Raw genomic sequence first — 27,842 nt, forward strand, 5'->3', positions numbered from 1 at the left:
GGCTCTGGGCCTTGCATAGGAAAGGGTTGGGGGTCTCGCTGGGGCCTGGCAACACTGGCCTGAGTATGACCAGAACAGTCACCAGAGGCCTCCTGGGAGGGCGGGTGCAGCCCCAGCCCCCGCCGTGAGTGGGGGTCGGGGGGCAGGTGTGAAAGTGTGGTGGGCAGCAGCTGGGTCTATGCGGCTCAGCAGTGGGAAGAGAACGGGCCAGGCTTCCAGGTGAGCTCAGGGACGGTTTTCACTGCAGCTAACCCTCTCCTGCCCACCTGCGCTCCCCGTGGCAACCAGCGGCCCTGCAGCGTGCGACTCCTCTTTATTCTTCCAAACTCTGTGAGCCTGCACGCTCCCATCCAGGACGGAACAGCAGGGGAGAGTGGCTGAAGGATGACAGGGGGCTTTTAGGGCCAGCCGGGTGGATGAGCTGGGTTTGCTGGGGTTGAGGGCTCAGTCGGGGGTTGGGGGGTGTCGAAGTCTGGGCCCCATCCAGCTGTCCTTTTTGTCCCGCCCAGGTGTCCCTGGGGTTCCTGTTCTGCCCCTGGCTTCTCTGGGGTTAAGTCCTCCTCCCTGTTCCCTCACTGTGGGGTTTGGCAGTGTGGCACAGTGTGGAGCTTGGACCGGCAGCCAGGGTCACAGCAGACCTCAGGAACTCCGATTCCAGTGCCAACACTGAGTACTCCTCTTTTGGGGGCATCAGAGCCTCTCCCTTGGCTACCTGGGGAGGCTGGTATGGAGGGAGGTGGAGGGAGATGGGGGAAGGGGGAGCGGGAGGTGAGGGCAGCTCGGGCCCTTCTTTTTGCTCTGATCTTCCTGGCCTGAGGACAAGAGCTGCTCCCAGACCTGCAGAGGCCCCTTGGGGCAGAGGGATGTTTCAGAGAACAGCCGGGTGACCTGCCTCCCTGCTCTGCGTGACGCAGCCCTAGGCCCCTGTGAGGCTAGAGTCACCCCCGCAAGGTGGGAGGTCACGGCCCCTGCCTGCACAGGCAGCACAGCTCACATGTCCTTCCTTGAGCCTTCTCTGCTTCCGGAGGCTGCCCTGGGCGCCTGACCTTGGAGCCATCATCTCCAGCTCCCCAACCCCTCCCCCACAGCCCTGGGGCAGACACCAGCCTGGGGAGGGGTCTCCATGCTCAGTTCCTTCCCGTCTTGTTCAGAGAGACGTGGCCTGCCCACGTGCAGTCAGCGGCATCCGCAACCCTGCCAGGGGCCCCGTGACACGCCCCCGCTGCACAGAGCATGTGACCCCAGAGGCCACCCTGGCCACTTCCAGAAAGCTGTGGGCCCTGGGATACTCCCCTCCCAGGGTGTCTGGTGGCAGGCCTGTGCCTATCCCTGCTGTCCCCAGGGTGGGCCCCGGGGGTCAGGAGCTCCAGAAGGGCCAGCTGGGCATATTCTGAGATTGGCCATCAGCCCCCATTTCTGCTGCAAACCTGGTCAGAGCCAGTGTTCCCTCCATGGGACCTAAAGACAGTGCCAAGTGCCTGCACCGTGGACCACAGCCGAGCCACTGGGCAGCCGGTGATGGTCCCACGCAGGAGCGCTGTGGACCCCGCTCTCTGGGCAGCCCTGTCCTAGGCCTGGACACCTGCAGAGCCTGGGACCACGTGGATGGGCAGATCCTGGGCCAGCTGCGGCCCCTGACAGAGGAGGAAGAGGAGGAGGGCGCCGGGGCCACCTTGTCCAGGGGGCCTGCCTTCCCCGGCATGGGCTCTGAGGAGTTGCGTCTGGCCTCCTTCTATGACTGGCCGCTGACTGCTGAGGTGCCACCCGAGCTGCTGGCTGCTGCCGGCTTCTTCCACACAGGTCAGTCCCGGGCGGGGGGGCCTTCCTGCCGTGGGCCTGGGCACGATTCTGGACCCTTCCAGCCCAGGGCTCTGCCTCCTCCGTAGCATCCATCCCCCAACAGGAAGGGTCTGGCCTGATGACGGAGCAGTGGTCCTGCAAGCCCCTCCAGTGCCCATGGGCTCGTGCCTGACACCCTCCCCCGGAGTCTCTGCTGGCTGAGTGTTTCAGACCGTGGGATGTGAGGAGGGGCTGCCTCTGGCCACAGTCTGAGGGTCTCAGCTGTGGAGGCCGCCAGCTTGGTGCACAAGTACCCCTTTGTGATAGAAGTGGGTGGGGCTGACATTGCCTGGGGCCCTCACCTTCCCCGCTGCTGTTCTGCACAGGGAGAGGAGATGTTTAAAGAACAGGATCAGGGTGACCAAGGCAGGCAGTGGTCAGCCAGAAGGTCCTGGATGCTCAGCCTGTGGGGAATTTCTCCAGGCCCCAACCTGCAGCTACTGTCTGGTCTTCCCCAACTGAATCAAGTCCCCGGAGTACCTATCCTAGTCTTGGCCCGGGCCTGCTCCTCTGCCCTACAGCTGCAGACCATGTGGTCAGACCTGAGTTCAGGTCCCAGCTCTGCCACTTCCTGGCTGAAGGACAGGGCAGCAGGGCCCACCGAGGGCTTTACAAATACTGGCACAGCCATGGTCATTGTCAGCAGTGGGCTCTGGCGGGGCACCATCCTGGTAAGGCTGGACCAACTTAAGACAGCTGGTCGGGGGGACAGTGGCTGGGACAGTCAGAAGCCGTGGCGTGAAGGGGCAGGCCCAGCTCACCCACCTCCCTGGAAGTCCAAGGCTCAGGAGGCAAAGGCCAGGCAAGAGGCATGGCAGGTGCAGAGCCGGGGTCTTTGGGGCTGGTAGAGGTCCAGTGCCCGATGCAGCCCAAACCTGTGATGTCAGTGGCAGGTGACGTATCGCATGGATGCCGATGAGGGGACGGGGTCGCCAGGAGGTAGAGAGATGACGGGTCCCCCACCCCCAAAGGGAGGCATGAGTTCCTAAAAGCAAGCCTGGCCCCAGACTGGCCTTCTAGGGCAGCCTCCCTTCTTCTTCTCACTGGGAATCCATCTTGGGGAAGCAGAGACCTGGGGAGGGGCCCTTCTGGCTCCTGAAGCCCCAGGGCTATAGATGTACCAAGCCCTGGGGGGCCCCCACTGCTCACTCTGGGAACAATGCAAATGCCAGCTCAGTCCTTTCCTGAACATTCTCGCCCATCCTGGCCGGCACCCCAGTCACCCTTGTCCCCTTTTCACCTTTGATGCTAATGAGGTACAAGTGACATCCCCCACCAAGCCCCCTGCCCACCCCCTCCTCCTTCTTGCCACCTGGGAGCTCCCCTCCAGCTGAAGCTCTCATAGCCTTGGAAGGACACACCGGGGGCCCGGGGACTGGGTGGGACTTGGCTGGGGCCAGCATCTCTCCGCACCCCAGGCCATCAGGACAAGGTGAGGTGCTTCTTCTGCTATGGGGGCCTGCAGAGCTGGAAGCGCGGGGACGACCCCTGGACGGAGCATGCCAAGTGGTTCCCCAGGTACCGGCTGCCCCTGCGGGGCCCCGGGTCTGATCATGGGTAGGGGGTGGGCCCCCAACGGCTCTGTCGACCCAACACCAGGCCTGCTTTGCCTCCCTGGCCCCACAGGGCACTGGGGAGGCCCTTCTGTGGGAGGTGCTTCTGGCCGGCAGGTACCCACTTTTCCTGTGAGGGCCCCTTTTCGGAAGGGCTGCTGGGGGCAGAAATGCCTCTCCCATGGGACTACCCTGAAGCCCCATGGAGGCGTCTCCACAGCAGCCCTCCTCGCCCATGCCCACGGGCACTGCAGGGTGGCGGGAGGAGGGGGCCCAACCCTGACCCCCGGGGATCCAAGGGCTTGAAGCAGACAGTGGGGGCCCTGAACCCCAACCTACATCTCTGGGGCATCTGCAGCTGTCAGTTCCTGCTCCGGTCAAAAGGAAGAGACTTTGTCCACAGTGTGCAGGAGACTCACTCCCAGCTGCTGGGCTCCTGGGTGAGCGCCACCTCTCCTCGGGGCTCCGGGTGGCAGTGGGGTCCTGCCCCTCCTATTTCCCCAAGGCCTGATGGTCTCTGGCTCCTTCCAGGACCCGTGGGAAGAACCGGAAGACGCAGCCCCTGTGGCCCCCTCCGGTGAGAGCTGACACCACCCCTGCTGACTCCTTGTGCGCCTGCAGCCTGTGCTTGGCCAAGGCCACTGGGTGTCCCCACCCTCCCAGACAGCAGGGAGAGTGACGGGCACGTGACAGGGTGTGACGCTGCTGCCTGGGTTGGCTTCAGGGGGCTGTGCCATGTGAGGGTGGGGGCGGGGCGGCAGGGGCCTCCCCCAGTGCCAGGCCCCATTCTGCTTCTCTCCCAGCTTACCCCTTGGGCACAGCCCATTGCCTGTCGCCATACCACCCCCAACAGTGCCCAGCACACAGCATCTGCAGCTACTGCCAGATGGGCAGGATGTGCAGAGGGCATTGGACAAGGGACAGGCTCTCTGGTGGCGCCTCCAGGAAGCCTCTGGATCCTGTTATGCTGTGGGAGGGGTGGGAAGAAGTGTCGGGAGCGGGGATACTCTGCAGCCCCTCCACTCCCGGCCAGAACTGGACCCCACAGGCTGCAGACCTGTATCTGGGCCGGCCCAGCTTTCTCCTTGGGAGTTAGGCCTCAAGTCTATCCTAACTGTCCACAGTCCCTGCCTCTGGGTACCCTGAGCTGCCCACACCCAGGAGAGAGGTCCAGTCTGAAAGTGCCCAGGAGCCAGGTGCAGGCCCGGGACCCCCTGGGTGAGGGCTGGGGCAGGGGAGGGCTGAGGGACCCCGACCTTCCATGGCCCATAGAGGGTGGGGGCCAGGGTGTGGGGACATTTCGCAGGCCTGTCCTCCTAGGAGGGGTCAGTCCAGCCGAGGCCCAGAGGGCGTGGTGGGTTCTTGAGCCCCCAGGAGCCAGGGATGTGGAGGCGCAGCTGCGGCGGCTGCAGGAGGAGAGGACGTGCAAGGTGTGCCTGGACCGCGCCGTGTCCATCGTCTTTGTGCCGTGCGGCCACCTGGTCTGTGCTGAGTGTGCCCCCGGCCTGCAGCTGTGCCCCATCTGCAGAGCCCCCGTCCGCAGCCGCGTGCGCACCTTCCTGTCCTAGGCCAGGTGAGCGCCCCAGCACCACGCGCAGCCAGCCCTCCTGCGGAGGGGGCCCTGAGCCGGCTGTGCCCGGCCCTCCTGAACCCATGCAGGCCCTTCCCGGGTGGCAGCGTCAGCTTGTTTTTACCCGGCTCCCAGGTCCCGCTGATAGCGCCCATCAATCTTACTACCTCCCTTGACGCTTAGGTTGGGGCCTGGTCCTTCGGGCACCGTGCCCTGGCGGCCACCATAGCTCTGCCTGCCTGCATTAACTGACGCCTGCTGGCTCCTCTCAGCCTTGATTTTCCTCAGTGGTCAAGGAAAGCCGGCTTTGGAGGCGTTTGGGGAAACAGGGTGGGCCAGGTTGGGCTTACACAAGCGAGACACTGGCCTGGCTTCAACCCGGGGCCAAGGCATGGTGGGAACACCTGCACGGGAAGGGGGTGTGTGAACCTGTTCTTAGAGAAGTGGGTGGGATACCCCATACTGGCCGAGGGACAGGTGCTGTGACCGCCTCGGGGCTCCCCAGAGCCTCTGTAGTTACCCCCGGGATGTGTCTGAAGATCTGGCAGGGGACAAAGTGGTCGGGCAGGGAACTCTGGGATCTGAGGCCCCTGGCTAGGTGGGCCCCGTCGGTTGCCATTGACTCACCCACCCCTCCTCTCCCTCTAGGTGCCATGGCCGGCCAGGTGGGCTGCAGAGTGGGCTCCCTGCCCCTCTCTGCCTGTTCTGGACTGTGTTCTGGGCCTGCTGAGGATGGCAGAGCTGGTGTCCATCCAGCACTGACCAGCCCTGATTCCCCGACCACCGCCCAGGGTGGAGAAGGAGGCCCTTGCTTGGCGTGGGGGATGGCTTAACTGTACCTGTTTGGATGCTTCTGAATAGAAATAAAGTGGGTTTTCCCTGGAGGTACCCAGCAGCCTGTTCCAGACCACGAGCTGCCTCCCCACCCACCCAACCCGACACAGGTCACCACCTCTCCAGGCTGGCAGGGCAGCACCTGCCCAGGTCCAGCTGGCTCCAGGCTGCTCCCCAAACTTCCCCCACTCCCGCAGACACCCCCCTTCCAGGCCCCTCACCTCCTTCCCCTCGCGCTTATCCTCCAGTATTTTAAGGACTGTTGGAACGGGCAGGCCGCAGGCCCCACCTGAGATTGTACCCCTGACTGTCCCCCAAGCTCGGCATCTTCCACAGAGTGGGTGAGGGCCATGTTCCTGTTTATTTACCAACTTGATGATACCTGGGGGAGCCTTTGGGACTGTTTGCCCAAGAGCCCCCTTTACAAGAGTACTGCCTGCTCGTCACCACCATGTGCCCTGCCCTATGCCTTGGGGCCTGGCTCTGCTGTTCCTGGTCAAGCCCAGCCCCCACCCTAGGGCTCCATCAGCCTCAGCTCCTGGGTGGGGTGGGGGTTCTTCTGGCACGAGTTTGGGGTTAGGAACCCTCCATGTTCAACAGGGGCCCTCACCGCTTGAGGGGTCTCGGGCCTCACATTGACTTCCTGGGGAGGCTGCATCCCAGCAGCAGTGCTTGCAGCCCGAGGGTCCAGCAGCCCCAGGTGGGCACCTGAGGGAGGGGCTCCTCGACGAGACGACAGCCTGGGGGCAGAGCTGTGACCCCCATGTTGCCAGAGGAGGTGGGCATGTGGGGTTTTGCCTTTTCTTTTGTATGTTTTCTTTTCTTTTTTTTTTTTAAGAGAAAGGAAATTACAAACTCTCTTGACGCTGCAGCCAGCCGTGGCACTGCCCTGCCGCCCTGGCTGGTGTCCAGTACTTAGAACCCAGGGCAGGTGCTGCCGGCCGCCTGGGGGGTGCTGGGTGGGGGCGCGTCCCAAGGCCTGGGAGCTCCTGTCATTGTCACTGGTCGGTCGCTGAGGCTGGAGGCCACAGGAGCAGGATCAGCTGTTTCCTCACTTACGCAGGCCTGTGGGGACAAGGTCAGAGAGCACCTGGGGGAACAGGGCTGGGGCAGCCACTGGGGGCTGCCACCCCCTCCCCTTGGAGAACCTGAAATGGAACAAAGTCCAAGCAGTGGACGGCTTCAGGCCTTTGGCAGAAAGGAGATGGGTGGGACTGAGGCTCTGGAAAGCCCCCACTGCCTCTCTCTGTGCCGGCAGGTCAGCGTCTTGTGCCTGTTTGCTGACATCTCAGTGGGGTCTGGCCTGTGGGGCTGGGAGTGGAGAGGGGGCTCACCCAGGGGTGTGCCTGGGTCCCTGGCTCAGGGTCTGCGTGTGACCCCACCCCTTCCCAGGTCTTTATTCCCCTGTTCTCTGACATGGGAGCTGGGCTCCTGCTACCTTGAACGGCCCCTGCCGGGACAGCCCTCATTTTTAGGAGAGAAGAGCCAGGGGCTACCCAGGGGCGTGCCATCAGGTGTGTCTGGGGGCCTGGGCAGCCCAGGGGCGGTGCAGCCACCTATTCTGAGCCCCAAACTAGGATTGTGTACGGGGCGGGCTGTGTGGCAAAAGCTGTTTCAGAGGAGGCCAGGTGGGAGCCCTGGCACCCCATGCCAAAGTCTGGGGTTTGCAGAGCTGTGGACACTGCCTTTCAAGAAACAAGTCTGGTTCTGCCAGATAGGAAGCCAGGGCCCCAGCTCCTGCCACAGAGAGACCCCTACAGCACCCCCATGCCGCCTGCTGGGAAGTGGCTCTTCAGGACACCCTTGCGGCCCCCGACTCAGAGCCGACTCCTGGACCCAACCCCCTCCCACAGTCTCCATCTCTGCTGGGCTCTGAGCTTCTGGGCTGGGACTGGGTCCTAGGTCTCTGCAGCCCCAGTACCACCCCAGAGCCTGGCATGAAGCAGATGTTAGAAAAGTGAGAGTGGATGGATGGACGGATGGATGGCAGAACGGACAGGCAGGTGCCTGGTGAGGCCCCCAAGGAAGGCAGCCTCTCGCTGTGAGGGCCAGATTGGCCAGGCTGGCCGCAGAGCAGGTTCTGCCAGCCATACTTACAAGTACACCTGCTTGGACAAGAGACTGGATGGCTTTTCATTGACATGGTAGAGAGGAAATGGATCAAATCCACCAATGAAATCAACTGAAAGAAATCAAGACCCAAATAAAACAAAACCTACACAATGGAAAAGATGTCAGAGTGGAAAACAAGCCCAACCAGACAAAGAAGCCCAAGGGGTCCCTGGGGGCACAGACAGTGCCCAAAGCCCTGACATGACAGCAGAGGGAACATGGCCTGGGGGGACGGGGGGGGTGGGACACCCGGGTCCTCGGCCTGTGCGGGGACGGCATCGGGGGACAGTGGGGGTGGGACAGCCCGGATCTTCAGCCTGTGCGGGGACATGGCCTGGGGGGACGGCAGGGGTAGGACAGCCCGGGTCCTCGGCCTATGTGGGGATGGCCTCGGGGGACAGTGGGGTCAGGACAGCCCGGGTCCTCCAGCCTGTGCAGGGGCTGCACCGTGTTCCGCCCACTCTCCCGCCGCCCTCCGTCATGTTCAGACCGATGGCTTCCTTGACACTGTGTCTGCACAGCCAGCAGGCAGCAGGGGCTTGCGGGGCAAAGTCGAGGCATTTTGAACCCCAGGTTCAAATGGGGTTCCCATCTTAAAATGTTTGAATGGAACCAGTCGTTTGCCTCCTCCCAGGAAGCTGGCTGAGCTCTGAGTGATGGTTTAGGATCAGCAGCAGAGTGGCTGAGGGATGCTGGGCGCTGGGGACCGAGGCTCTGAGGGCATTCCTCGCCTCTGGAATCAGGCCTGGTCTGAGGGTAGGGTGCCCTTTGACACGTGGACTGCTGACCCCATGGCCCCTGGAGTCCTGGGGACAGATGGTTCTGAACTGGATTCTGACCCCAGGGAGAGTTCTGTCCATAGGAACCAGGACCCCTGGGCACACCCAGACCCTGCTTGGCGTCTGCCCTTCCCCACCCGGCTCTATCCTTCTCCACAGGGTCTTCCTGTGAGACCACACCAGGACGAGGGGACCCAGCGAGGGCGCCTGAGTGTGGACCACTCGTGTTGCAAATCACAGGAAAGCTGACGGGCTGGCGAGCAAAGGGAAGATGAAACCCTGCCCAGATGGGTCCAGGCTGCCACCGAGGGCCTGATGTGAGCGTCCTGGCCATGGGCCCGGTTCCGATCTGCCTGGAGGCTGCAGCGGCCTGGACCTGGGCAGTCTGAGCTCAGACCTTCCTCCCGTGGCCACTGCGGGGATCATGAGGGCAGGCCCAGCCCAAAGCACAGGAGTCCTTGGACCGGGGGGCAGCTGACCCCTGGAGCCCCCAGGCTAGGACCTCTGCTAATCTCTTCCCTGGTGTGTGGCGAGTCCTCGCTCAGGCCTACGGCCGTGAGCAAGGCCCTGCTGGGCGTGAGGTCCCTTCCAAGTGGGGAGGTCTCTCGCCTTGCCCCAGACGGGACAGACTCAGAGCTGCCACCTCTGTAGCCGTCTCCCGCCCCACTGCCTGCAGAGGCCCCATACTCACAGCTGTCCTCTTCCTCCGTAAACACGCTGACCACCTGGCAGCCACAGACAAAGCCCAGAAGCTGAAAGACACCACAGGCAGGGGCGTGAGTGCGGCCAGGCGAGCCTGTGGGGTGTCATTGAGGCGATGTGGGCCGAAGCACTGGAGCGCCCCTGACCACCAAGGCCCTGCCTCTCCTGGACCTCAGGTTCCTCCTCTGTGACTTGGAGTGGGAGAGCTGACCCGTGGGTATCCTCAGCTCTCAAGCTCCGGACGCACCCCTGCCTTCCACCCCACCCCACTCAACTGGGTAGGGGGCAGGTGGGTGAGGATAATGGATATTGGGTGGGGAAGATGAGCAGGTCAGCCTGAGTGGCTGCAGGGAGCGGGGTGAGGACACAGAAGCCCAGGCTGGATGAACCCCAGGCCAGCACAGTCCCAGCCCTGCGTCCCCTCGGGCCTCTTGCCTTTGGCCCCAGCCCACTCCAGCCAGCAGCCACCAGGGGTTCCTCCTCCTCTGTGGAGCAAGCCATCTGGGATTCTGGTTTTGAGCCCGGCAAAGTGCAGGAGAGACAGGCTGAGGACTCGGGGTCCAGCGGGCAACTCCGGGCAGAGTTGGGGGCTGGCTGCTGCCTTTGGGGCAGGGGTCAGGCAGGGAGAGGGGAGGGACTGGGAGTCCAGGGCAGAGGGCAGGCCGCTGCAAAGCCCCACACACCTCGCAGACACCTGCATCCAGGGCCACTGAGGGAAAAAGGGCTCTGGCAAAGGGGGGGCAGTGCTGCCGCAGCCAGAAACACCAACAGCATGAGCGAGAGGGCCTGGCCAGGGGCACTCCAGGCCACAGACACCGAGGGAGGCGGCAGTGGGTCTGTGACTGGAGGGACCCCGGAACGAGGCAGGAAACCTTCCTGGTTGCACCTCAGGCCAACCACTCAGCAGCCGGGTGACCCCAAAAATTCACTTCATCTTCTGGTCTTGGTTTCTTCCTCCATAGACTTGGCCCAACAGCCCCCCGTGAAGGCCACCGTGCCCAGGAGAGGAGACAGGACACGCAGGCCAGGCCCCAGGGCTGGACATGCTTGGGCTCCGTCCCCCCGACCCCCGACCCCATCTGGTACAGGCAAGTTGGTGGTTGCTTTCCTGGAAATCCAGCTCCTTTCTAGGGGTCAGTCAGGGGCCAGGAGACCTCTCTTACCACCAAGCAGGCAGACCTATCTCCTTGATATTGAGACAAGCTCAAGAAGCTGTCCCAAATGGCCATTTCTGGTTCCATGCCACGGCCAGGGTGGGAGCAGCGGTGAGGGTGGGCAACCTCCACGGCTCGTCCCCCTCCTCACCCCAAAGGAGCCCAAGACGCCCCCATCCCGGAGCTGGCCGTGGCGCCGAACAGGCAGCCGAGCTTGGGGAGCCATTGGAAGATGCCCCTTCCAGCCGGTGCCCTCCTGCCTGGGGACCTGCAGGCCACCTCTGTCCCACACCCCCATGCTCCCCGCCCTGCACACCACCGCCTCCTGCCCATCCTCCTGGCTCCAGCCCCAGGTCCACCCCAAAGCTCTCCCCTCTCCCTGCTGCATGGAGGCCTGGGATCTGCAGGCCCCGCACCCCAACCCCCAGAGCCTGGCCTTGTCAGACGACTCTCTTGCCACCACCATTTCCATCCCCAGCACAGCTGGGCAGAGGCCAACCAAGCCGCCAGCCTCTCCCAGACCCTCCAAAGCAAACAGCAGGGGCGAGATCCTAGCGAGGACTAGCTGGCTGGAATTTAGAAACTACATCCTATCAAAGAAATTCCCATCCCTGGGAGTCAGGATAAAAGCCAACAGGAGGCCCCATCTCCCCAACCATGCAGAGTGCCCACTCCTCCAGCCTCGGCTCCCATAGCACGCCAGCCCCCTCCGAGAGACTCTTCATTCATTCCCCTCAAGCTTCCTTTTTTTTTTTTTGAGACAGAGTCTCGCTCTGTCACCCAGGCTGGAGTGCAGTGGCGTGATCTCTGCTCACTGCAAGCTCTGCCTCCCGGGTTCATGCCATTCTCCTGCTTCAGCCTCCCGAGGAGCTGGGACTACAGGCGCCCGCCACCACGCCCGGCTAATTGTTTTGTATTTTTAGTAGAGACAGGGTTTCACCGTGTTAGCCAGGATGGTCTCAGTCTCCTGACCTCGTGATCCGCCTGCCTCGGCCTCCCAAAGTGCTGGGATTACAGGTGTGAGCCACCGCACCCAGCCTAGCTTCTTTTCTGTTGCCTCCTCACAAAGCCTAATCTCAGGAGCTTTGATGTGCACACTTGGGAAATTGGCTCTTTCTCCTCCAGTGGCAGGCACCTGGGTTCCACACATTTTGGGGGCAATTGGGGCCCCCTCTGTGCCTTGCTGACTGGCTTTGGTGGGAGAAACAGGCCCCGACTGGAGCTGGCAGGGTGCGTCTGTGGCCCCTTGCTATGGGGCAGCACCTTCCTGGCCTGATTTCCTGCAGGACCAGAGCAGAGCCCAGGAAGGAGCCCCGGGAGCTCACGAGGCCACCCGCACCGTCACGTGTGCTCAGGCCACGGGCTCCTTAGATTTGGAATTCAGCTCCCACCGCCAGCCGCCGGCCATGGAGCCTCGCTCCTGGAAGCCCCAGGTCCACCTGGTGTGTTGCGTCGACACCACCGTGCGCACCAGGAAAAGCCAGGGAGCCTCGAGATCGGTCAGAAGTTCCTCCAGCGACGGCACCAGCCGTGCTGCAGTCACATTGGCCCTGCCCCCGGAGCTCTTGAGGTGAAACGCTGACCGAGCACCCTCCACACACCCGCCTCAGCTTTTGCCTCTTTCTGAGCACTTCGAGGAAGGCACTGACACCATCTGCATTTTACAGAGGCGGGAGCTGAGGCACACGGAGGTTGTTAGGCTCACAGAGGCGGCACAGCGGGGAAGTGGCCGTGTGGCCATACCAGGAGCAGCATCGTAGCCCCTGTTCTCTACCAACCCGTGCAGGGCCGGAGAGGACGGCAGAGTCCCGTTCCCGCACAAGCAACAGCTGCTCCTCAGCGCCACCCGGGGCCACAGAATCCCTGTCCGGTCAGACCTGGGTCACGTGGCGCCAGCCTTGCCAGATGCATACGCCAGGGTTCCCGACAAGGCTGAGGGGCTTCTTGCCAGCCCAGCCTCAGGCTCTGTCCACTTCCTGTGACCGGCATGGGCTCGGGGCAGCCGAGGGAACAGGCGGGACACGCATGGATGGGTTTGTCAGGAAGATGCATGCCCCTCCTCCTTGGGGCCGTCAAAGCCAGAGGCGGGGTGTCTCGGCCTGATCCGATTCCTTCCCACTCCCCACAGCAAACACCACGCTCAACTTGAGAAAGCGCCTGGGTTGGCCCCGCCTGGGGGAGGTGGTTTGCAGAGGAGGCACTGAGGTGCCAGCCACATGGGACCCACCCGTGATACCTTAACCTCTCCAGCAAGGGTGGGGGATGAGGAAGGCAGAGACACGCCTGAGGCCAGGTCAGCTGGCCCCGCCTCAGGGAGATGAGCCCCCAGCTCCATGTCCCCTCCCCCATCAACCCATCCCCACCCGGGGGCCCCCTTCCCCACGCTCACCGCGATCAGGATCTGCAGGCAACTGTGTAGGGCCTCCACATAGCTGGGCTCCAGGGCACAGCCAGCACCTGACACCAGGGCCTGGCCATGGGGGGCCCCGAGGCCCACTGCTGGCACCTCCTCATGCAGACAGCCTGGCCAGCGCTCACGCCACCAGGAGCGATGCCGGGAGAGGCTGAAGGTCAGTAGCTCGCTGTCCTAGGGGAGAGGTGCAGGAGCAGGGCCGGTTAGCACCAGGAGGTGGGCGGCCTCACCCACTGCAGCCTGCGGGGACGCCACCACACCGAGGCAAGGGGAGGTCCTGTCCTCTCACCTCCCCTGTCCTCCCACTGCACCCCGCCCCCAGGGCTCCAGCCATGGTGGGGAAAGGAATACCAAGGCCCTCCCAGCCGCTCCTGCGCCTGCCCTCGACCCACACACCTCCTCCTCCAGGAAGGCCTCCCTGCCCAGACCCCAGAACTCGCTCTCAGGGGCACCGGGCCCCTTCCTCGTGTCGCTGGCCAAAGCTGCCATGTGACGTGTGTCTGCCTCGGGACAGTCTTCCCGGCTGCAGCCCCAGGTGTGGTTCCAGGAAGCGGGGGCCCGTCTGCCTGGCTGGGCACCTGCCCCAGTGCCCACCTGTGCTACACTGGCCAGAGCAGAGAGCCCCTGGGGGAGACCAAAATCCATCCACCCTGGCTTTAGGACCACCCTCTGAGCTGTAAGCAAAGTGCCTGAAACAGCCTCGGTCAGGGTGGGCTCAGCAATGGCCCCCACCCTGTTTCCCCTGAACAGCCTCGGTCAGGGTCGGCTCAGCGATGGCCTTTTCCCACCCCCTCCCCCCACGTTTCCCCTGGTTCCCTGCATTGCAGGAGGCACGAGGCTTTACCAGCCTGGAGGGTTGGTCGGGCTGGGACAAAGGACCCCACGTGGCCCCAGGAGGGTGGTGTCCATTCACCTGCAGATCTCTGCCAGGGTTTGCCCCTGCTCTGAGGCCCCTCTTCCCCAGCTGGAGCCCCCTCGCCTGCCAATACCCACAGACGCCTTTCTTTCACCAATCAAATCACTGGTCTTTCCCCAAACCTTTACTGAGTTACCAACTACAGACCAGGGCTGTTCTGGGTGCTGGGGACAGAGCCATGCACAGACTGAGCCCCTGCCTCAGACGACAGATGAAAAGCAAACACAGGGGGTGTTACCAGGGGCCCGGCCCAGACCCCAGGGAAGGACCTCGCGCTGCCTCCCAGTCTGCACTCACCTTTAAGAGGCCACCGACTTCCAGGTAGAAGCAGATGATGAAGACGTTCCAGGTGACCCAGACGGCTGCCCACAGCGTGTACTAGGGAGAGGAGAGGATGGGGCGGCAGCTGAACACAGCTCCCGGGCACACCTGCTTGCATCCAGCCCCCGGGGGAAGGGGTCCCATGATCGCATAGGAGGGGCGGCCTCTGCTCCTGAGTCTGGCGGCCCCCAGATGCACAGCATGGAGAAAGGGGTCCCCCAAGCCCACCCTGGGACACGTCTCAGAGCTTTCCCACGTGGGTGCCCCGGGAATGAGGCGGTGGGACAGCCAGCTCAAGGGAGCCCCAGCGCAGGTCGGCGTACGGACACAGCATCCCTGGCTGAGCTGCCGTGACCTGTCCTCGCCTCACCGGGCTGACATTACACGTGGACAGCACAGGCCTCCACTGCAGAGCACCCCAGAAGCCACCCCCAAGAGAGCACCCCAAAGAGCTGCCAGCTGCTTTTGTAAATAAAGTTTTGCGGACACAGCCACACCCATTTGTGCACACACAGCCCAGCTGCTTTTGCGTTGGGACTGCACGGGCCACAGCACCTAAGGTATTTACCATCTGCCCTTTACAGGAAAAGTCAGCTGCAAACTACTGGTCTGGACCGATGATTTGGTTCTGCACTGAATGAAAATGCTGACTGAGCAGAGAGACATTTTTCTGAACATTTTTTCAGCTTCTCCAGAGGATGCAGCAAGGACAGTATGGCCAGGGGTCTGCTGGGGTCCAGGTCCCACCCTGGGCTTCCGACAGTGATTCTGTGCCTGATTTCCCATCTGTAAAGCAGGGATCGTGGCAGCACCCAGATCCCTGGCTACTGAGGGGATGAATTCGTGAAGGCGTTCAGTGCCTGGGGCCCCCCAATATATGCAGCTGCTCCTTCAAGCAGCCTCGGAAAAGCCCCTCCGTCCGAACCAGAATTCTAGATGTCCAGGCAGCAAAGAGGTCTGAACCCAGGGGTCTGGGTTGGCATTTGTGGGGTGTTCAGTGGTGTCCAGGAAAATATGCCAGGATGGTGCCATGGGAGCCGCCATCCTGGTCACCTCAACCCACCTGCCCATAAAGAGGGCCGGGCCCAGGACTCACCACCATGACATAGCGCAGCCGGTACTGGATGGTGCCGAAGAGTCCCAGGATGACGATGATGATGTGGACAAAGTTGGCCAGGATGGGCGCCCACTGGTAGCCCAGGAAGTCAAACACCTGCCTCTCCAGGGCGGCGACCTAGGAGCAGGGCGGGCGCCATGAAGGGTGGACCCGAGGGAGGCCCCAGGCCCGCCAGCCAGGTACTGGGCCAAGGTGACAGGATCTCAGCAGGGACTTCCTCCCCACACCCGCCCACCACACCTTTGTTTGACGAAGGACACCAGGGCTGTAACTCCTGCTCTGTGACCACCACCGAGCAGGCACTGAGCATCTACTGTGTGCTTGGCTCTTCCAAGAAGAATCCCCAAATGAGCCTGACAGGCCCCCTTGTGTCCCCGTGTGTCACCGTCTGTCCCCGGTGAGCGTTCCTCCCTTGAGTAGGCCCCATCCCCTCTGTCCCCAGTTTCCTCATCTGGAGAATGGGAACACCAGGGGCTGCTCTAAATCACGAACTGTGGGGCCAGGTGACAGACACACAGCCCAGAAAACGCCACTCGGGGGGGTCGGATGGCCGGGAGGGACGGACGCGGGTTCACAAGAGTACTGGACGCCGAGGCCCCAGCCTGCTGCCTGCATCTCGGCCTTGGGGACAGGGCTGGTGAGGCTGCTCTCTGGCAGGCAGGCAGCCTCCCCTCCACTTCAGGATATTACAGGACTCTGTTGAACTGCCCTCTACACAGGGCCGAGAGAGAACCAATGAGGGGGGGAGGGAAAGGTGCCTGAGGAATATAAAGTTGGTATTTTATATTTAGGAGACCAAGAAAACCTGAGCAAAGCCATGACCAGGACGCTAACTGCAGGGACTGGCGCACTCGGCACCACCCGTCACCAGCTCCTTCCCACGTGCTGGTGAAGCACAACCCAGAGAAGAGAAGATGCTGTGGAACCCACCCCATCCCCCACCCCAGCCGCCCTATCCCCCACCCCAGCCACTCCATCCCCCATCCCCCATCCCAGCCAAAAGACACCTGGGCCCGGGGGACCACTACCACCAAGACGCAGAGACCAGTAGTGGCCCTGAATGCCAGGCTGTGCTGATATTTATTGGATACAAGACAAAAGGGCAGGGTAAGGAGTGTGAGTCATCTCCAATGACAGGTAAGGTCACGTGGGTCACATGTCCACTGGCCAGGGGGCCCTTGCCTGCCTGGCAGCCGAGGCAGAGAGAGAGGAGAGAGAGAGAGAGAGACAGCTTACGCCATTATTTCTGCTTATCAGAGACTTTCAGTACTTTCACTAATTTGCTGCTGTTATCTAGAAGGCAGAGCCAGGTGCACAGGATGGAACATGAAGGCGGACTAGGAGCGTGACCACTGAAGCACAGCATCACAGGGAGACGGTTAGGCCTCCGGATAACTGCGGGCGGGCCTGACTGATGTCAGGTCCTCCACAAGAGGTGGAGGAGTAGAGTCTTCTCTAAACTCCCCCGGGGAAAGGGAGACTCCCTTTCCCAGTCCGCTAAGTAGCAGGTGTTTTTCCGTGACACTGAGGCTACCGCTAGACCACGGTCCGCTTGGCAACGGGCGTCTTCCCAGACGCTGGTGTCACCGCTAGACCAAGGAGCCCTCTGGTGGCCCTGTCTGGGCGTGACAGAAGGCTCACACTTGTCTTCTGGTCACTTCTCACTATGTCCCCTCAGCTCCTATCTCTGTATGGCCTGGTTTTTCCTAGATTATGATTGTAGAGCAAGGATTATTATAATACGGGAACAAAGAGTAATTGCTACAAACTAATGATGAATGATATTCATATATAATCATGTCTATGACCTATATCTAGTATAACTATTGTTGTATTATATATTTTATTATACTGGAACATCTCGTGCCCTTGGTCTCTTGCCTGGGCACCTGGGTGGCTAGCCGCCCACGAAACTCTTAGTCTCAGGCCTCCCCATCGTGCCCGGAGGACACTAACCTACGAGGAGGGATGTCTGCCCTGCCGGAGCCCCGGGGGGAAGGTAAGCGAGCCCCCCAAGGGGAGCAGTTCTTGCCCTGGCCCACTTTGCCTACGCCGGGCACAGTTCTGTGAGGTCTGGGCTGGCGGCTGGGACAAGCTGCACATCTCGGCTAAGGGGTCTCGGCCTGAGGAGCAGCCTCAGGTCTGGCTCCAGAATGGAGACCCTGCAGCACAGAGGGGCTGGGGGCGTCTTTTTCATCTCGAAGCCAAGGCTCCCAGAGGCTCAGGGCTCCATGACATGTGGCGACATGCATGAGCAGGGAGGCTCATGCCACCATGGAAGCAGGTGACCCTGGTGGCCCTGCCAGGACCCAGCCCCAAACCCCTTCCTGGGCCTTTGGCTCCCAGGGTCTCCTCAATGCAGCAGGGCAGAGCCTGGGAATTGGACGCAGCACAGCCCGGCTCAGAGCCAGCAAAGTTCACACTGTTCTTTGGGGAGAAAGGCGCTCAGAAGAGATGCCTGGGCCCTTTGTCCTGTAGCTTGGTAACACAAAATTCTCACACTTGTCAAAAAAAAAAAGGGGCTATCCAACAACCCCGCCCTTCCTCCCGGGCCCCCTACCCCCATGCAGTGACTAGAGCTGTGGTCAAGGACTCTTCTTCCCCAAGGCAGAGGAGGCACAGTGGGCTGCCAGATTGCCAACCCGGCCAGGACAAAAGGCCTTTGACAGCTCCCTGCTGCGGTTCAGCAGTGACCCAGAGGCTGGCCCTGAGAGGACACGGCTCTGCCCAGTCCCTGGAGAGTCCCCAGGTCTGCTAGTGAAGCCCTGCGGCCCTCAAGCCAGGATGACTCTTTCCCTCTTGGCTGCAACCAAATTTCCAAGGGCCTGCATGTGCGCCCATCTGTCTACTGTCCACCGCAGAGGTGAAACGGGAACATGACCCCACCCGCCCCTCTGCACCCTGAGGTCACATCCGACCAGCACAGTCGTGCCTCACCCTGCACCTGAGACTGAAGCACCCATTTCTCCTGCCCAAACCCCAGCACCATCAACCCCAGCACATCCTCACACCACCTTCAACAGATGGAAACCAATGTCACTAGTGTCCCCCAAAGCAGCCTCACTTCCTGACGCTCATGCATCACCAGCTGCCACTGGCCATGCTCCAAACTGGGGTACCGTCCAGGCTGGTGCCTGTCCTTCATGAGGTCATCCGACGGGCACTGGAGTCTTCGAGTGCCCACCCTTGCTCTCCCCATTCCTGCTTCCAGCCCCTCCCCACCAGTCTCCTAAGGGACTCCTGCCATTGAGGAGCCACTCACTGAAAGATACCAACTGTTCCAAGGCCTGGGATGGTCCTTGGGCCCCCAGCCTGTTGCAGGACCTCAGGTTATCTCCGCGGCCCCAGCGAGCCTCCCAGGAAAGCGCCGGAAGCTCCTTCCTTCCTGCAGGAAGGACACGATGCCTCCGCCGTCCCTAGGTCCGCCCGCAAGCCTGTGCCCCTAAGCCGAGCACAGGACACCCAAGCTGCACAGCCACGGACTCCGAGGGTTTCGCTGCTCAAAACTCTGAAACAGCCCCTTCTGGCCCTTCTAGCTTCAAGAGGAGGAGGGGGGCGCGCGGTCCAGCTGCGCTCCGCAGCCCACAAAGCATCGTTTCCTTTTTAAGACGGGAGACCCAGGGCCAATTAGCATCGAAGCAAAGCAGCTTCCCCAGCCTGGACAGGCGAGGCCTTTGTTTAGCCCCCTCCCCCGAGGGCACCGGGCTCCGGGAAAGAATCCGCCCCCCAGGCGTCCCAGGGAGCTTCGGACTCCGGGGCAGAATGGAAACTTGGCCGAGGGAGCCCCGACCAATCCCGACACCGAAGACGCCCGCGCTGCGCCCCGGGCATCGGCTCCAGCCCCTTCTCGCCTCCGCGTAGCTCCACGCCGGGCGGAATGGGGGGCGGCGGGGGCGGGCGGGGCCGGTTTGCTCGCGGGTGGGCAGGACGTTCTCACCCCCCGCCCCCTACACTCGCAAACTCGCAGGCACAGCCTCCGTCATCGCCCCACCCGAATCTCAGAATCGGAACTTGGCCGCTCACTCGGCGCCCGGGGCCGGCTGCGGGAAACGCTCGCACAGACAGAGACAGGCGCGCACCCGGGGGCGCACCCGGGGCCACACACGCCTCCCCAGGCGATGGGGTCCAGGCGGCCCCGCCCGAAGGCTTCCGTCCGGCCAGCCCATCCAGCCGCTGCCCCGCACCTGTCCCCGCCGCTCCGGACCCGCGGCCGCCCCCCGCGCACGCACACCGGGGACGGGACCCGGCGCCGCGACTCCCCACGCCCCGCAGGCGACGCCACCTTCGGCCGTAGCAGCCCGGGGTCCGAGGCATCCCCCCTCGGAGCTGGCGCGGGACCCAGCGAACGGGCCCCGGGGCGGAGGGACGCTTCGGGACCCCACAGCCGCCGTGGGTCGGGCACCGGGGGCTCCAGGAGGCTCGCGGAGGGGTCGCCACTCACCAGCTGAAAAGCGCAGAGGACGACGAGCGCGCAGCGGCCGGAGCAGGAGCCCATGGTGCCCGCCTATACAGGAGGCCCCCGGGTGCCCCGCGCTCGGCCCCCGCCCCCGCTCCGCCCGCTCCCCACGCGCCGCAGCCTGGACCCCGCCCCCTCCGCATCCCGTTCCCCCCTCCTCCCCGCAACCCCCGGCCCAGCCCCAGCCCCGGGTAACAGCTGCGCTGCGTCTCCCCTCCCACCCCCGCCTGCGGCCCCTGGGGGCTTCGCGCCGGCCGGAGAGGGGGACCGTTCTTAAAGGGGCGATGGCGCGGCCTCTCGGGTAGCGAGGGGCGGCGCCGCGGCCCCAGGACAGACCTGCAGCTGAGGGGAGCCCGCCCTGGACGCGGCAGGGATGACCGGCGTCCGCCCCCTCCTGCAGGATGACCTGCCCAGCACCTGCTCCCGCCGTGCGCCCTCCGGCGTGAGATCCCCATCAACCTTCCCCGTGTGGGGTCTGAGCGACCCGCATCCGCGAGGCGTTTTCTCTGAGAGTCTCAGAGATTCCTTGGCTTGGAGAAGTCCTGGACCCGGGTCCAGAGCTCAGAGGTCCCCTCCACGGGCGGGCGGGCCGAGGACTCAGGAGGAGGGAGTGAGCCGGGCTCGCCCACCTCCCACAGGGAGCTCCTCTGCTGGAAGGCTGAGACCTGAAGGCCAGGTCTGCTCCAACTGCCTGGACCGGCCTCCTGCCTGCGCGGGAGGGGCCTAGGGAGCCTCGGGTTGGGACAGCCTGAGGCCTTGTGCACGGTGGAGGCAGGACCCAGCTGCCCAGGGCAGGTCCTGGGGTCTGGATGGGGCTGAACCCCGTAAAGCCTGCGCTTCCGGAAGAAGCTTGCGCTGGAGGCAGGGAAGGGTCCCAGCCAGGCCCGAGAGGAGCAGGACGTGGATACAGTGAGCCAGAGTGTCAGCCGGTCGGAAAGCCCATGGGGGCAGAACAGCGGGAGATCAGGGCAGGTGGCCGGGCCAGGGCTGCCACTTGGTCTTTACTCAGTGGCAGGGCAGGCTCCCTGACTGCCACCCACCGCCTGAGGAGCCTGAGATGGGTTTCCCATGGCAACCTGAATTCCTGCCCCACTCGAGATTTTATGAATTACTGAGGATTCTTGCCTTCCTAATTTTGGTTGTGTGTCCCACAGTCCCGGGGATCAGGAGGGGTTAACAGAAGACCAAGGGTCAGGTTTTCTGCACTGCGGGGAGCCACCCCAGATCTGTAGTCCAGGCTCATGGGCGGGTGAGGGGGTAGCTTCCAAGCCCCAAAGGTTAGAGAGCAAAGGTGTGGCCAGTTGTGGAGGGAGGGGGAGCGTCAGGTTGTTTGCAGTGCTGGGGAGATAAGAATATTCAGGAATCAGATGGTGGTGATGGTTGCACAGCTCTGTGAATATACTGCAGCCCACTGAGCACTACACTGTAAAGGGGTGACTATTATGGTGTGAGGATTATATCCCGATTTTTAAAAGATGTGAAAAAATTAATGTTTATTTATACGATATATAAGACATTGATTTTTAAATACAGCGGTACCATCCCCGTCCCCCATAACCCTGGTTCCTCCAGGCACTTGGAGCCATTGGTGGAAGGACGTGGACTCCTAGAAGGTGATTCGCAAAGGTGCCACGTAAGCAGAGGAGCCGGGTAAGCAGAGGCCCAGTGCCACGTAAGCAGAGGAAGGCCCGGAGCCGGCTGCTGAGGTCCTGAGGGAGAGGGAGGGGCACCTGCTCAGCCTTGCCTGTGTGTGTGGATCCTTCTCTCTCAGGGGAAGCTGCCTGGACATGCGTGCGCCTTGCAGTTCTGTCCTGCCAGGCTGCCTGCTCTTCCTCTTGAAAGCAAAAGACTTCACTTGCTGAGGATGCAACGATGCTCTAGTGTCCCTTGCAGGAGCCAGTGTCAGAGCCAGGAGCCGTCGTGGGCATCCCCTGCTCCAAAGTTACGAGTTCTGGTGAAGGGGTCAGGACAGCCCCTTTGAGAGTTCAGCAGAGCAGGTCTGCACAGGTCCCACGCCGTGCACAGCCCACACTCCACCTGCCCTGGTGCACACTGACGGCAGCAGCCAGCCGCGGGGACCCCAGGCGCAGTGTTGCCTCGTGAACGTTAGAGCAGCCTCCAGAGGCGGGTTCGGTCTGCACACCTGGTTCGCGGGTGACACAGTTGTGACTTGGCCCAGGTCAGTTGTTGGGGCCTGGCCAGCTGTGGGTGGTGAGGTTTTCTCGGACGCTTCATCTGCTCTCGTTCTTGTTCGAATTCCTTCTGCCTAAGAATGACAGCTTTAAAAGTGAAATGGCAGCACGTCTCCATCATTACACAGAATCCCATGTGGGAAGACCCTAGTCGGAGGCCCCCACCCTTGCCCGGAACTGGACTTTGGGGCAGCAGCAAACTGCAGTGAGTGTGAGTCACACCTGAGGACAGGTGGGCTGTCTTCAGGCTCCCAACAGGTCTGTCGCTTAAGGGGCTGGGGAATGGGGGCTGGAATGCCACGGCCTGCCCACCTGGGGGACTCTGGGCAGAGCTGGAGCAGCCAGGCAGGAAAATATCCCCCAGTTTCCAGAGAGTAAAAGCTGATGGTCCTGCTGAGGTGTGAAGGACAGTGACGGACAGTGATGGAAGGTGATGGACAGAGGAGGACAGTGATGGACAGAGGAGGGCAGTGATGGACAGTGACGGGCAGTGATAGACAGCAACAGAGAGTGGAGGACAGTGATGAACAGCAACAGACAGTGGAGGGCAGTGATGGACAGTGGAGGACAGTGGAGGATAGCAGAGGGCAGTGATGGACAGTAATGGACAGCAAAGGACAGTGAGGGACAGCAGAGGACAGTGATGGACAGCGGAGGACAGTGATGGGCAGCGGAGGACAGTGATGGACAGTGGAGGACAGTGATGGAGAGCAGAGGACAGTGATGGACAATGGAGGACAGTGGAGGACAGTGATGGACAGTGGAGGACAGTGATGGACAGCGGAGGACAGTGATGGCGAGCGGAGGACAGTGATGGAGAGCGGAGGACAGTGATGGACAGCGGAGGACAGTGATGGCGAGCGGAGGACAGTGATGGACAGCGGAGGACAGTGATGGACAGCGGAGGACAGTGATGGACAGCGGAGGACAGTGATGGAGAACGGAGGACAGTGATGGACAGCGGAGGACAGTGATGGACAGAGGAGGACAGTGATGGAGAGTGGAGGACAGTGATGGACAGCGGAGGACAGTGATGGACAGTGGAGGACAGTGATGGAGAACGGAGGACAGCGATGGACAGCGGAGGACAGCGATGGACAGCGGATGACAGTGGAGGACAGCGGATGACAGTGGAGGACAGTGGAGGACAGCGATGGACAGTGGAGGACAGTGATGGACAGCGGAGGACAGTGATGGACAGTAATGGACAGTGATGGACAGCGGAGGACAGTGATGGACAGCGGAGGACAGCGATGGACAGTGGAGGACAGTGATGGACAGTGGAGGACAGTGATGGACAGAGGAGGACAGTGAAAGACAGAGAAGGACAGCAATGGAAGGACAGCCACCCCAGTCAGCACAAACGCAGGCCGAGTGGGGCCCATGCATTCCTGGGAGGACTGGCAAGCTGGGAAAGGCCTCCAGGGCAGGGAAACTCAGGAGAGTGACAGCTTGTTCAGGCCAGGACCTTGTGCATCTTCTCCTTTTTTCTTTCTTAGTAAACCCAGTGTATTCATTTTTAGCGGCTGCCATAACAAATTCCCATAAACTAGCGGCTTGAAGCCACGGAAGTTTATTACGTCACAGTTGTGGAGGCTAGACATCTAACATCCAGGTATGGGCAGGGTTGCACTGCCTTCGAAGCTCTGGGGAGGGTCCTTCCTGCCCCTCCCAGCTCCTGTGGCTCCCAGCGTCCTTAGCCTGTGGGCGTTATCGCTCTGGTCTTTGCCTCCACCTTTGCGTGACCTCCTCCTCTCCTGTGTGTCACTTGCTATGATGCTTGTGATGCCATTTAGGGCCCACCTATGTAATCCAGCATGCTCTCATGTCAAGATCCCTAATCACATCTGCAAAGAACCTTGCCCCAAACTCCTGGCTTCAAGCAATTCTCCTGCCTTGGCCTCCCAACATGCTGGGTTTGCAGGTGTGAGCCACTGTGCCAGGCCTAGATTTGGGGGCCACCATTCAGTCGCTGCTCTCCCACACCTGCAGCAGCCCCAGCCCGCCCGCAGGGCAGACCTTCCTTGTGGCAGAGACAACAGGAAAAGGAAAGGAAGAGGAACCCAGGCCTGGGTTCCCGGCAGAGCTGTCCGCAGAGCCTGTGCGGGGCTGCAAAGGCCCCTCTGTTGTCACAACACCCCTGTCCCCGTTTCAGATGAAACCGGGAGAACTTTCAACTGCAACAAACACTCCTGGAAAAGGAGAGGCCAATCCCCATGGCTCCACAGAGAGCACAGCCAGACCCCTTCATCCAGGCCCACAGGCAATGTTGTCGACTCTGTTCTTCCTTTGAAAAAAAAGGGTGCTGGTTGGTTTCCAGTTTACTGCAGACACACAGAGAGGCCCCTCTCTGGCTCAGAGCCTGGCCCGGGTCTCTCCAGTCCCAGCTTCTCCCTCCCGAAAGGAACGTCCTGCCCAACAATGCAACACGTGTGTGCACTCCCAGTGTGGGAATCAGGCTGAGCTGGACTTCAGGGGCAGCCCAGGATGCTTGCCTCGGGTGGGGCGTTTTCCCAGAGGTTTCTTGGGAGCTGCCTGGGAGTTGCCGCAGCTTCTTCCCAGCTGGCTTCAGCCCAGGCTTCCTGGGTGAGATTCTTGTTCCCTGGCCCCTCACGGTACGCGTGGTCCTGTTCCCCGCAATCCCCCACCCCCTTGAACTCCGTTCCCACACTCAGGACCCACCCAGATGCCAGCTCCCCGCAGAGCAGTGCAGCCCCCCACTTCCAGCCCTGACGGCACACACCCTGCCCCCCACCACCATTTTGGAATTGTTCTTCGCCAGAAATACCGTTTCCCACCCTGTCTTCTTATTCTCGGAGGCAGAGGCACTTCAGCTTCCTGGGCCGTCTGTCACTGAGTCACCCTGGTTTCCATTGGCAGTGCCGCCTCTCCCTCACTCGGATGCTTCTGTGCAGCCACACGGGCTGTGTGTGCAACCTCAGGGGACGCATCAACCACGTCCTCGGGCTGGCCGTAGAGACATGGCCTCCGCCTGAGTGTGGCCGTCAGACTCTCCCTGGTACTATAAGCCCTCGGCTGAGGGGGCAGAGGGGCAGCTAGGATCATGGCCGCAGCTCCCAGAGGGGAGCCCCCATCCTCCAGGCCGTCTTACCGAGCCTGCTCCCCAGCCTGCGCCTTTCCTGACTTCCCTCCAGGCTCCTGTTGCTGGCGACCACAGAACCAGCCTCAGGGCTTTCCTGTCCTTCCTGTCAGGGGTCCTTTCCCAGTGGGAGCTCTGGGCGGGTGGGCCTGTCCCAGGAGAGTCACGTAGCTTGTTTAAGGAGAAGATCCCCATGGCTCTTGTGTGCACATGTGGGGCCTCTCTCCCCAGGGGCTGCTGTGAGCCTGGGAAGTCCCAGGTGGTGTCTCATGCCCCAGAGAGTAGCCCCCTGTGCACCTCGCACACGCCCTCCTGCGGGTCTGCTGACTTTCTCCTCTGCCTCAGCCAAGTCTCCCACGCGGAGCAGGTGGGAACTGAATGAAGGCCTCACAGGATTCTGAGTCCCCGGTCTGACACCCACCTGGCTCAGCACCTGCCTCCTCAGCTTCCAGTTGCACGGGTGGCCGCAGGCGTCAGGGTGTGACGGCGAGCGTGGCCAGTCCGGTCAGAGGTCTCTGCATCCTCCACACCTCTGGCCAGGTGAGACCCAGCCTGTGTCTCTCCCAGCTCTACTGACGGACGGCAGGAAGCTGAGACCCCGAGCCCGTGTGTCCTCGGTTCTTGGTGCTTTGCAATGCCCCTGGCCCTGGCTGCAGCCGCCCCCTGGCTGGGCCCCGAGCCTGTCTGCCCTGCAACACTCACCCTTCATGAAGAGGGAGCCTCAGCCGAGAGGAGAGCAAATAAGTGTAAGGGGAGAGGGTGCTTCCTGAGACACGCGGTGGGCCCAGGGCTCCTGCCTTGGCCATTCCGTCCATCTGTGGGAGGGCCTTGGCCTCTCTGCTTTTGGAGCAGGGCGCTGGGGCTAGGGGATTGCAGCCACAGCCACTCTACTGCACTGGTTGGGAGCTCGGATCACCTGGGTGCAGAGGAAGCTTTGACGGCAAGGGTTGGTGTGGCTCATCTCGCCCACCCCACAGCCATCGCCGCCCCGCAGACACCTCTGGATCCCGGCCTGCCGTCCCTCCTCCCGAGCCTACATTAGGCTCCATCCTTCCCCAGGCCCCATGCCACCAGCAAGAACAGCCCAGCCAATGCAGACTGCACCCCTCGGCCTCGGCCGGGACCGAGCACACTGCCCTGTGTGCTCTCCCTGGCCCCTGAGGCAGGTGGCCTGACCCCTGTCTTCAGAGGGGAAAGCTGAGTCTCGGGAAGGCCACACAGCCGAGGAGTGGGGGCAGAAAGAACCCAGCTCTGCGTCAGGCTGTGTCAAGCCGACATTTAGTGCCTAGCAGCAGCCACGGCCTCTGCAGGGCTTCCTGGAGCAGGTGTGGGCTCTTCCAGCACAGAGCATGGGCTGCACCAGCTTCGGGGTGCACCGCGTACAGGTTAGGGCTGTGGCTGTGGCTGCTGGCTGACACCAGGAGTAAACGTGGACACCAGACCAGCGCAGCCTAGACCCAGCTGGGTGGCAGGTGCTGCCAGTGCGTCTCGAGGGGGCAGCAGGGTCAGCTGCAGATGAGGCTGCCCCAGGACTGGCTGCCAGCCCTCAAAGAGCCCCCTGGGTCCCCCCGGCACAACTCTCTGCATGAAGCCCCCAGCAGGAGAAGGGCTCACTGCCCTGAGCCCGACACAGTACGAGACGGAGGCCTCACTGAGTCCAGGCCCCGCACTGGCCCTCCCCTGGATCCTGAGTCCAGGCCCCAAGCCAGCCCCTCCCCTGGATCTCCCCAGACCCTCTCTGTGGGAACCCAGGGGCTGGAGCCGCTCGACTACATCTTGGTAGCTCTCATTTGGGACCTCATCTTTAATCTCAGCAACTCAGGGATCAAAGAGAAAAGGCCGAGGCAGGCGAGGCCAGGGTTTCTTGCTCAAGCATTCGGATCATTAAACAAACGAAAAAAATCAAAGAGAAGGAAAGCCAGGCTGCTGCCTGTGGATCTGTCTGCCCTCCCCGGAGGCCAGCGCCGCACGCCCCTCCCTCCCTCTCTCTCCCTCTCCTCTCTCTGGCTCTCCTGATGGAGGCCCCACATGGGGTTAGGATTCCCAAATGTCACATGAATCCAGTGTTTGGGGAGCGTCTCGCTCCGTTTGTGTTGCTGTAACAAATGCCTTGGACTGGGTTGTGTTTAAGAACTGGGTTTTTCTGGAGGCTGGAAGTCCAGCACTGAGGCAGGAGCAGGGTCGCTGCTTGGTGAGGGCTGCTCTCTGCTTCCAGAAAGCGCCTGATTGCTGCTTCCTCCAGAGAGGACGAAGGCCGTGGCCTCACATGGTGCAAGGTGGGAGGGTGAGAGGGTGCTCCCTTCCCCTGGATCCCATTCACAAGGTGCTCGTCCCGTTCTCCCAGAGGCCACAGGTCTAAATGCTGTTGCGGGGGGGACTCGCTTTCAACACAAATTTTGGAGGAGATGTCACTCAAACCAGAGCAGGAAGTGTGAGGAAGGACTCAGGAGTGCCCCCCGGCCGCGTCCTGGCTTTGGAAGCACAGGAAGCGCCTGGCAGCCTCGCGTTCTCCTTGCCCTCATTAGTTTGATTTTGCTTGAGGAGGACACACCAGTGCCCCCTCCCCAGTCTCTGCCCCTCCCTCTTCCTGCCAGAGCCCAGGAGGCCCCATCCTGCACTAAGAAGCCCCCACAGCAGCCGTAGCAGGGACGTCCTTCCCCACCGTCCTCCCGTCACCTCGAGGGACTTCCTTCCGTCCCCACCGTCCTCCCGTCACCTCGAGGGACTTCCTTCCGTCCCCACCGTCCTCCCTTCACCTCGAGGGACTTCCTTCCGTCCCCACCG

General features: G+C 62.2%; 3 protein-coding genes, 1 long non-coding RNA gene and 1 other non-coding gene across 18 annotated transcripts, besides 10 other annotated features; 4 read left to right on the top strand and 1 right to left on the bottom strand.

The window, feature by feature from the left end:
* Positions 76-677: an enhancer, noted in NCBI's record as "H3K27ac-H3K4me1 hESC enhancer chr20:61866073-61866674 (GRCh37/hg19 assembly coordinates)". NCBI's record gives its function as "activates a minimal SCP1, AML or CMV promoter by ChIP-STARR-seq in naive H9 embryonic stem cells {active_cell/tissue: H9 hESC(naive)}" and the evidence as "EXISTENCE:reporter gene assay evidence [ECO:0000049][PMID:30033119]".
* Positions 1,025-1,144: an enhancer, noted in NCBI's record as "active region_18225". NCBI's record gives its function as "activates an Ori minimal core promoter by ATAC-STARR-seq in GM12878 lymphoblastoid cells {active_cell/tissue: GM12878}" and the evidence as "EXISTENCE:reporter gene assay evidence [ECO:0000049][PMID:35858748]".
* BIRC7 (baculoviral IAP repeat containing 7) lies at positions 1,260-5,850 on the top strand. 3 transcript variants are annotated; one of them, NM_139317.3, is made up of 7 exons: positions 1,260-1,800; positions 3,258-3,357; positions 3,751-3,832; positions 3,924-3,969; positions 4,517-4,588; positions 4,713-4,965; positions 5,611-5,850. In NM_139317.3, the coding sequence occupies exons 1-6, from the start codon at positions 1,452-1,454 to the stop codon at positions 4,958-4,960; spliced, it is 897 nt and encodes a 298-aa protein (NP_647478.1). In that variant the 5' UTR covers positions 1,260-1,451; the 3' UTR covers positions 4,961-4,965; positions 5,611-5,850. The 3 variants fall into 3 exon arrangements, with proteins under 3 accessions (NP_647478.1, NP_071444.1, XP_047296451.1); NM_022161.4 differs by having other exon boundaries at positions 4,767-4,965; XM_047440495.1 differs by having other exon boundaries at positions 1,260-3,357; positions 4,760-4,965.
* MIR3196 (microRNA 3196) lies at positions 4,134-4,197 on the top strand. The gene has a single exon (NR_036163.1). It is a non-coding gene; the product is annotated as a microRNA 3196 (primary transcript).
* Positions 4,599-5,099: an enhancer, noted in NCBI's record as "H3K4me1 hESC enhancer chr20:61870596-61871096 (GRCh37/hg19 assembly coordinates)". NCBI's record gives its function as "activates a minimal SCP1, AML or CMV promoter by ChIP-STARR-seq in naive H9 embryonic stem cells {active_cell/tissue: H9 hESC(naive)}" and the evidence as "EXISTENCE:reporter gene assay evidence [ECO:0000049][PMID:30033119]".
* On the bottom strand, positions 6,139-20,276 carry NKAIN4 (sodium/potassium transporting ATPase interacting 4). 12 transcript variants are annotated; one of them, XM_017027636.3, is made up of 7 exons: positions 20,184-20,276; positions 15,290-15,427; positions 14,170-14,250; positions 12,933-13,130; positions 9,379-9,439; positions 7,894-7,978; positions 6,139-7,107 (listed from the first exon to the last, which is right to left on the bottom strand). In XM_017027636.3, the coding sequence occupies exons 2-7, from the start codon at positions 15,293-15,295 to the stop codon at positions 7,056-7,058; spliced, it is 483 nt and encodes a 160-aa protein (XP_016883125.1). In that variant the 5' UTR covers positions 15,296-15,427; positions 20,184-20,276; the 3' UTR covers positions 6,139-7,055. The 12 variants fall into 12 exon arrangements, with proteins under 12 accessions (XP_016883125.1, XP_047295827.1, XP_047295828.1 ...); XM_047439871.1 differs by lacking the exon at positions 20,184-20,276 and adding an exon at positions 20,103-20,145 and having other exon boundaries at positions 6,139-6,861; XM_047439872.1 differs by lacking the exon at positions 20,184-20,276 and adding an exon at positions 20,103-20,125.
* On the top strand, positions 8,016-14,689 carry LOC124904950 (uncharacterized). Its single transcript, XM_047440633.1, has 2 exons — positions 8,016-12,113; positions 12,211-14,689. The coding sequence occupies exon 1, from the start codon at positions 10,162-10,164 to the stop codon at positions 11,236-11,238; it is 1,077 nt and encodes a 358-aa protein (XP_047296589.1). The 5' UTR covers positions 8,016-10,161; the 3' UTR covers positions 11,239-12,113; positions 12,211-14,689.
* Positions 13,178-14,010: an enhancer, noted in NCBI's record as "H3K27ac-H3K4me1 hESC enhancer chr20:61879175-61880007 (GRCh37/hg19 assembly coordinates)". NCBI's record gives its function as "activates a minimal SCP1, AML or CMV promoter by ChIP-STARR-seq in naive and primed H9 embryonic stem cells {active_cell/tissue: H9 hESC(naive and primed)}" and the evidence as "EXISTENCE:reporter gene assay evidence [ECO:0000049][PMID:30033119]".
* Positions 14,011-14,842: an enhancer, noted in NCBI's record as "H3K4me1 hESC enhancer chr20:61880008-61880839 (GRCh37/hg19 assembly coordinates)". NCBI's record gives its function as "activates a minimal SCP1, AML or CMV promoter by ChIP-STARR-seq in primed H9 embryonic stem cells {active_cell/tissue: H9 hESC(primed)}" and the evidence as "EXISTENCE:reporter gene assay evidence [ECO:0000049][PMID:30033119]".
* Positions 17,494-18,002: an enhancer, noted in NCBI's record as "H3K4me1 hESC enhancer chr20:61883491-61883999 (GRCh37/hg19 assembly coordinates)". NCBI's record gives its function as "activates a minimal SCP1, AML or CMV promoter by ChIP-STARR-seq in naive H9 embryonic stem cells {active_cell/tissue: H9 hESC(naive)}" and the evidence as "EXISTENCE:reporter gene assay evidence [ECO:0000049][PMID:30033119]".
* Positions 19,074-19,605: an enhancer, noted in NCBI's record as "H3K4me1 hESC enhancer chr20:61885071-61885602 (GRCh37/hg19 assembly coordinates)". NCBI's record gives its function as "activates a minimal SCP1, AML or CMV promoter by ChIP-STARR-seq in naive H9 embryonic stem cells {active_cell/tissue: H9 hESC(naive)}" and the evidence as "EXISTENCE:reporter gene assay evidence [ECO:0000049][PMID:30033119]".
* Positions 19,333-26,970, top strand: FLJ16779 (uncharacterized LOC100192386). The gene has a single exon (NR_024389.1). It is a non-coding gene; the product is annotated as an uncharacterized LOC100192386 (long non-coding RNA).
* Positions 19,606-20,137: an enhancer, noted in NCBI's record as "H3K4me1 hESC enhancer chr20:61885603-61886134 (GRCh37/hg19 assembly coordinates)". NCBI's record gives its function as "activates a minimal SCP1, AML or CMV promoter by ChIP-STARR-seq in naive H9 embryonic stem cells {active_cell/tissue: H9 hESC(naive)}" and the evidence as "EXISTENCE:reporter gene assay evidence [ECO:0000049][PMID:30033119]".
* Positions 23,511-24,128: an enhancer, noted in NCBI's record as "H3K4me1 hESC enhancer chr20:61889508-61890125 (GRCh37/hg19 assembly coordinates)". NCBI's record gives its function as "activates a minimal SCP1, AML or CMV promoter by ChIP-STARR-seq in naive H9 embryonic stem cells {active_cell/tissue: H9 hESC(naive)}" and the evidence as "EXISTENCE:reporter gene assay evidence [ECO:0000049][PMID:30033119]".
* Positions 25,364-25,979: an enhancer, noted in NCBI's record as "H3K4me1 hESC enhancer chr20:61891361-61891976 (GRCh37/hg19 assembly coordinates)". NCBI's record gives its function as "activates a minimal SCP1, AML or CMV promoter by ChIP-STARR-seq in primed H9 embryonic stem cells {active_cell/tissue: H9 hESC(primed)}" and the evidence as "EXISTENCE:reporter gene assay evidence [ECO:0000049][PMID:30033119]".
* Positions 26,971-27,842: the final 872 nt, after the last annotated feature.

Source organism: Homo sapiens, chromosome 20 (genome assembly GCF_000001405.40).
Source record: "Homo sapiens chromosome 20, GRCh38.p14 Primary Assembly".
Classification (NCBI taxonomy): Eukaryota; Metazoa; Chordata; class Mammalia; order Primates; family Hominidae; genus Homo; species Homo sapiens.

Coding starts and splice junctions, on each gene's coding strand:
- BIRC7 (NM_139317.3), top strand. CDS start 1,452: ATGGGACCTAAAGACAGTGCCAAGTGCCTGCACCGTGGACCACAGCCG. Junction 1,801..3,257: donor TGCCGGCTTCTTCCACACAG/GTCAGTCCCGGG, acceptor TCCGCACCCCAG/GCCATCAGGACAAGGTGAGG. Junction 3,970..4,516: donor AGCCCCTGTGGCCCCCTCCG/GTGAGAGCTGAC, acceptor AACTGTCCACAG/TCCCTGCCTCTGGGTACCCT.
- LOC124904950 (XM_047440633.1), top strand. CDS start 10,162: ATGAGCGAGAGGGCCTGGCCAGGGGCACTCCAGGCCACAGACACCGAG.
- NKAIN4 (XM_011528527.3), bottom strand. CDS start 19,805: ATGGGCTCCTGCTCCGGCCGCTGCGCGCTCGTCGTCCTCTGCGCTTTT. Junction 7,979..9,378: donor TACGGAGGAAGAGGACAGCT/GTGAGTATGGGG, acceptor GATTTCTTTCAG/TTGATTTCATTGGTGGATTT. Junction 7,108..7,893: donor TTGTCCAAGCAGGTGTACTT/GTAAGTATGGCT, acceptor CTCCACTCCCAG/CCCCACAGGCCAGACCCCAC.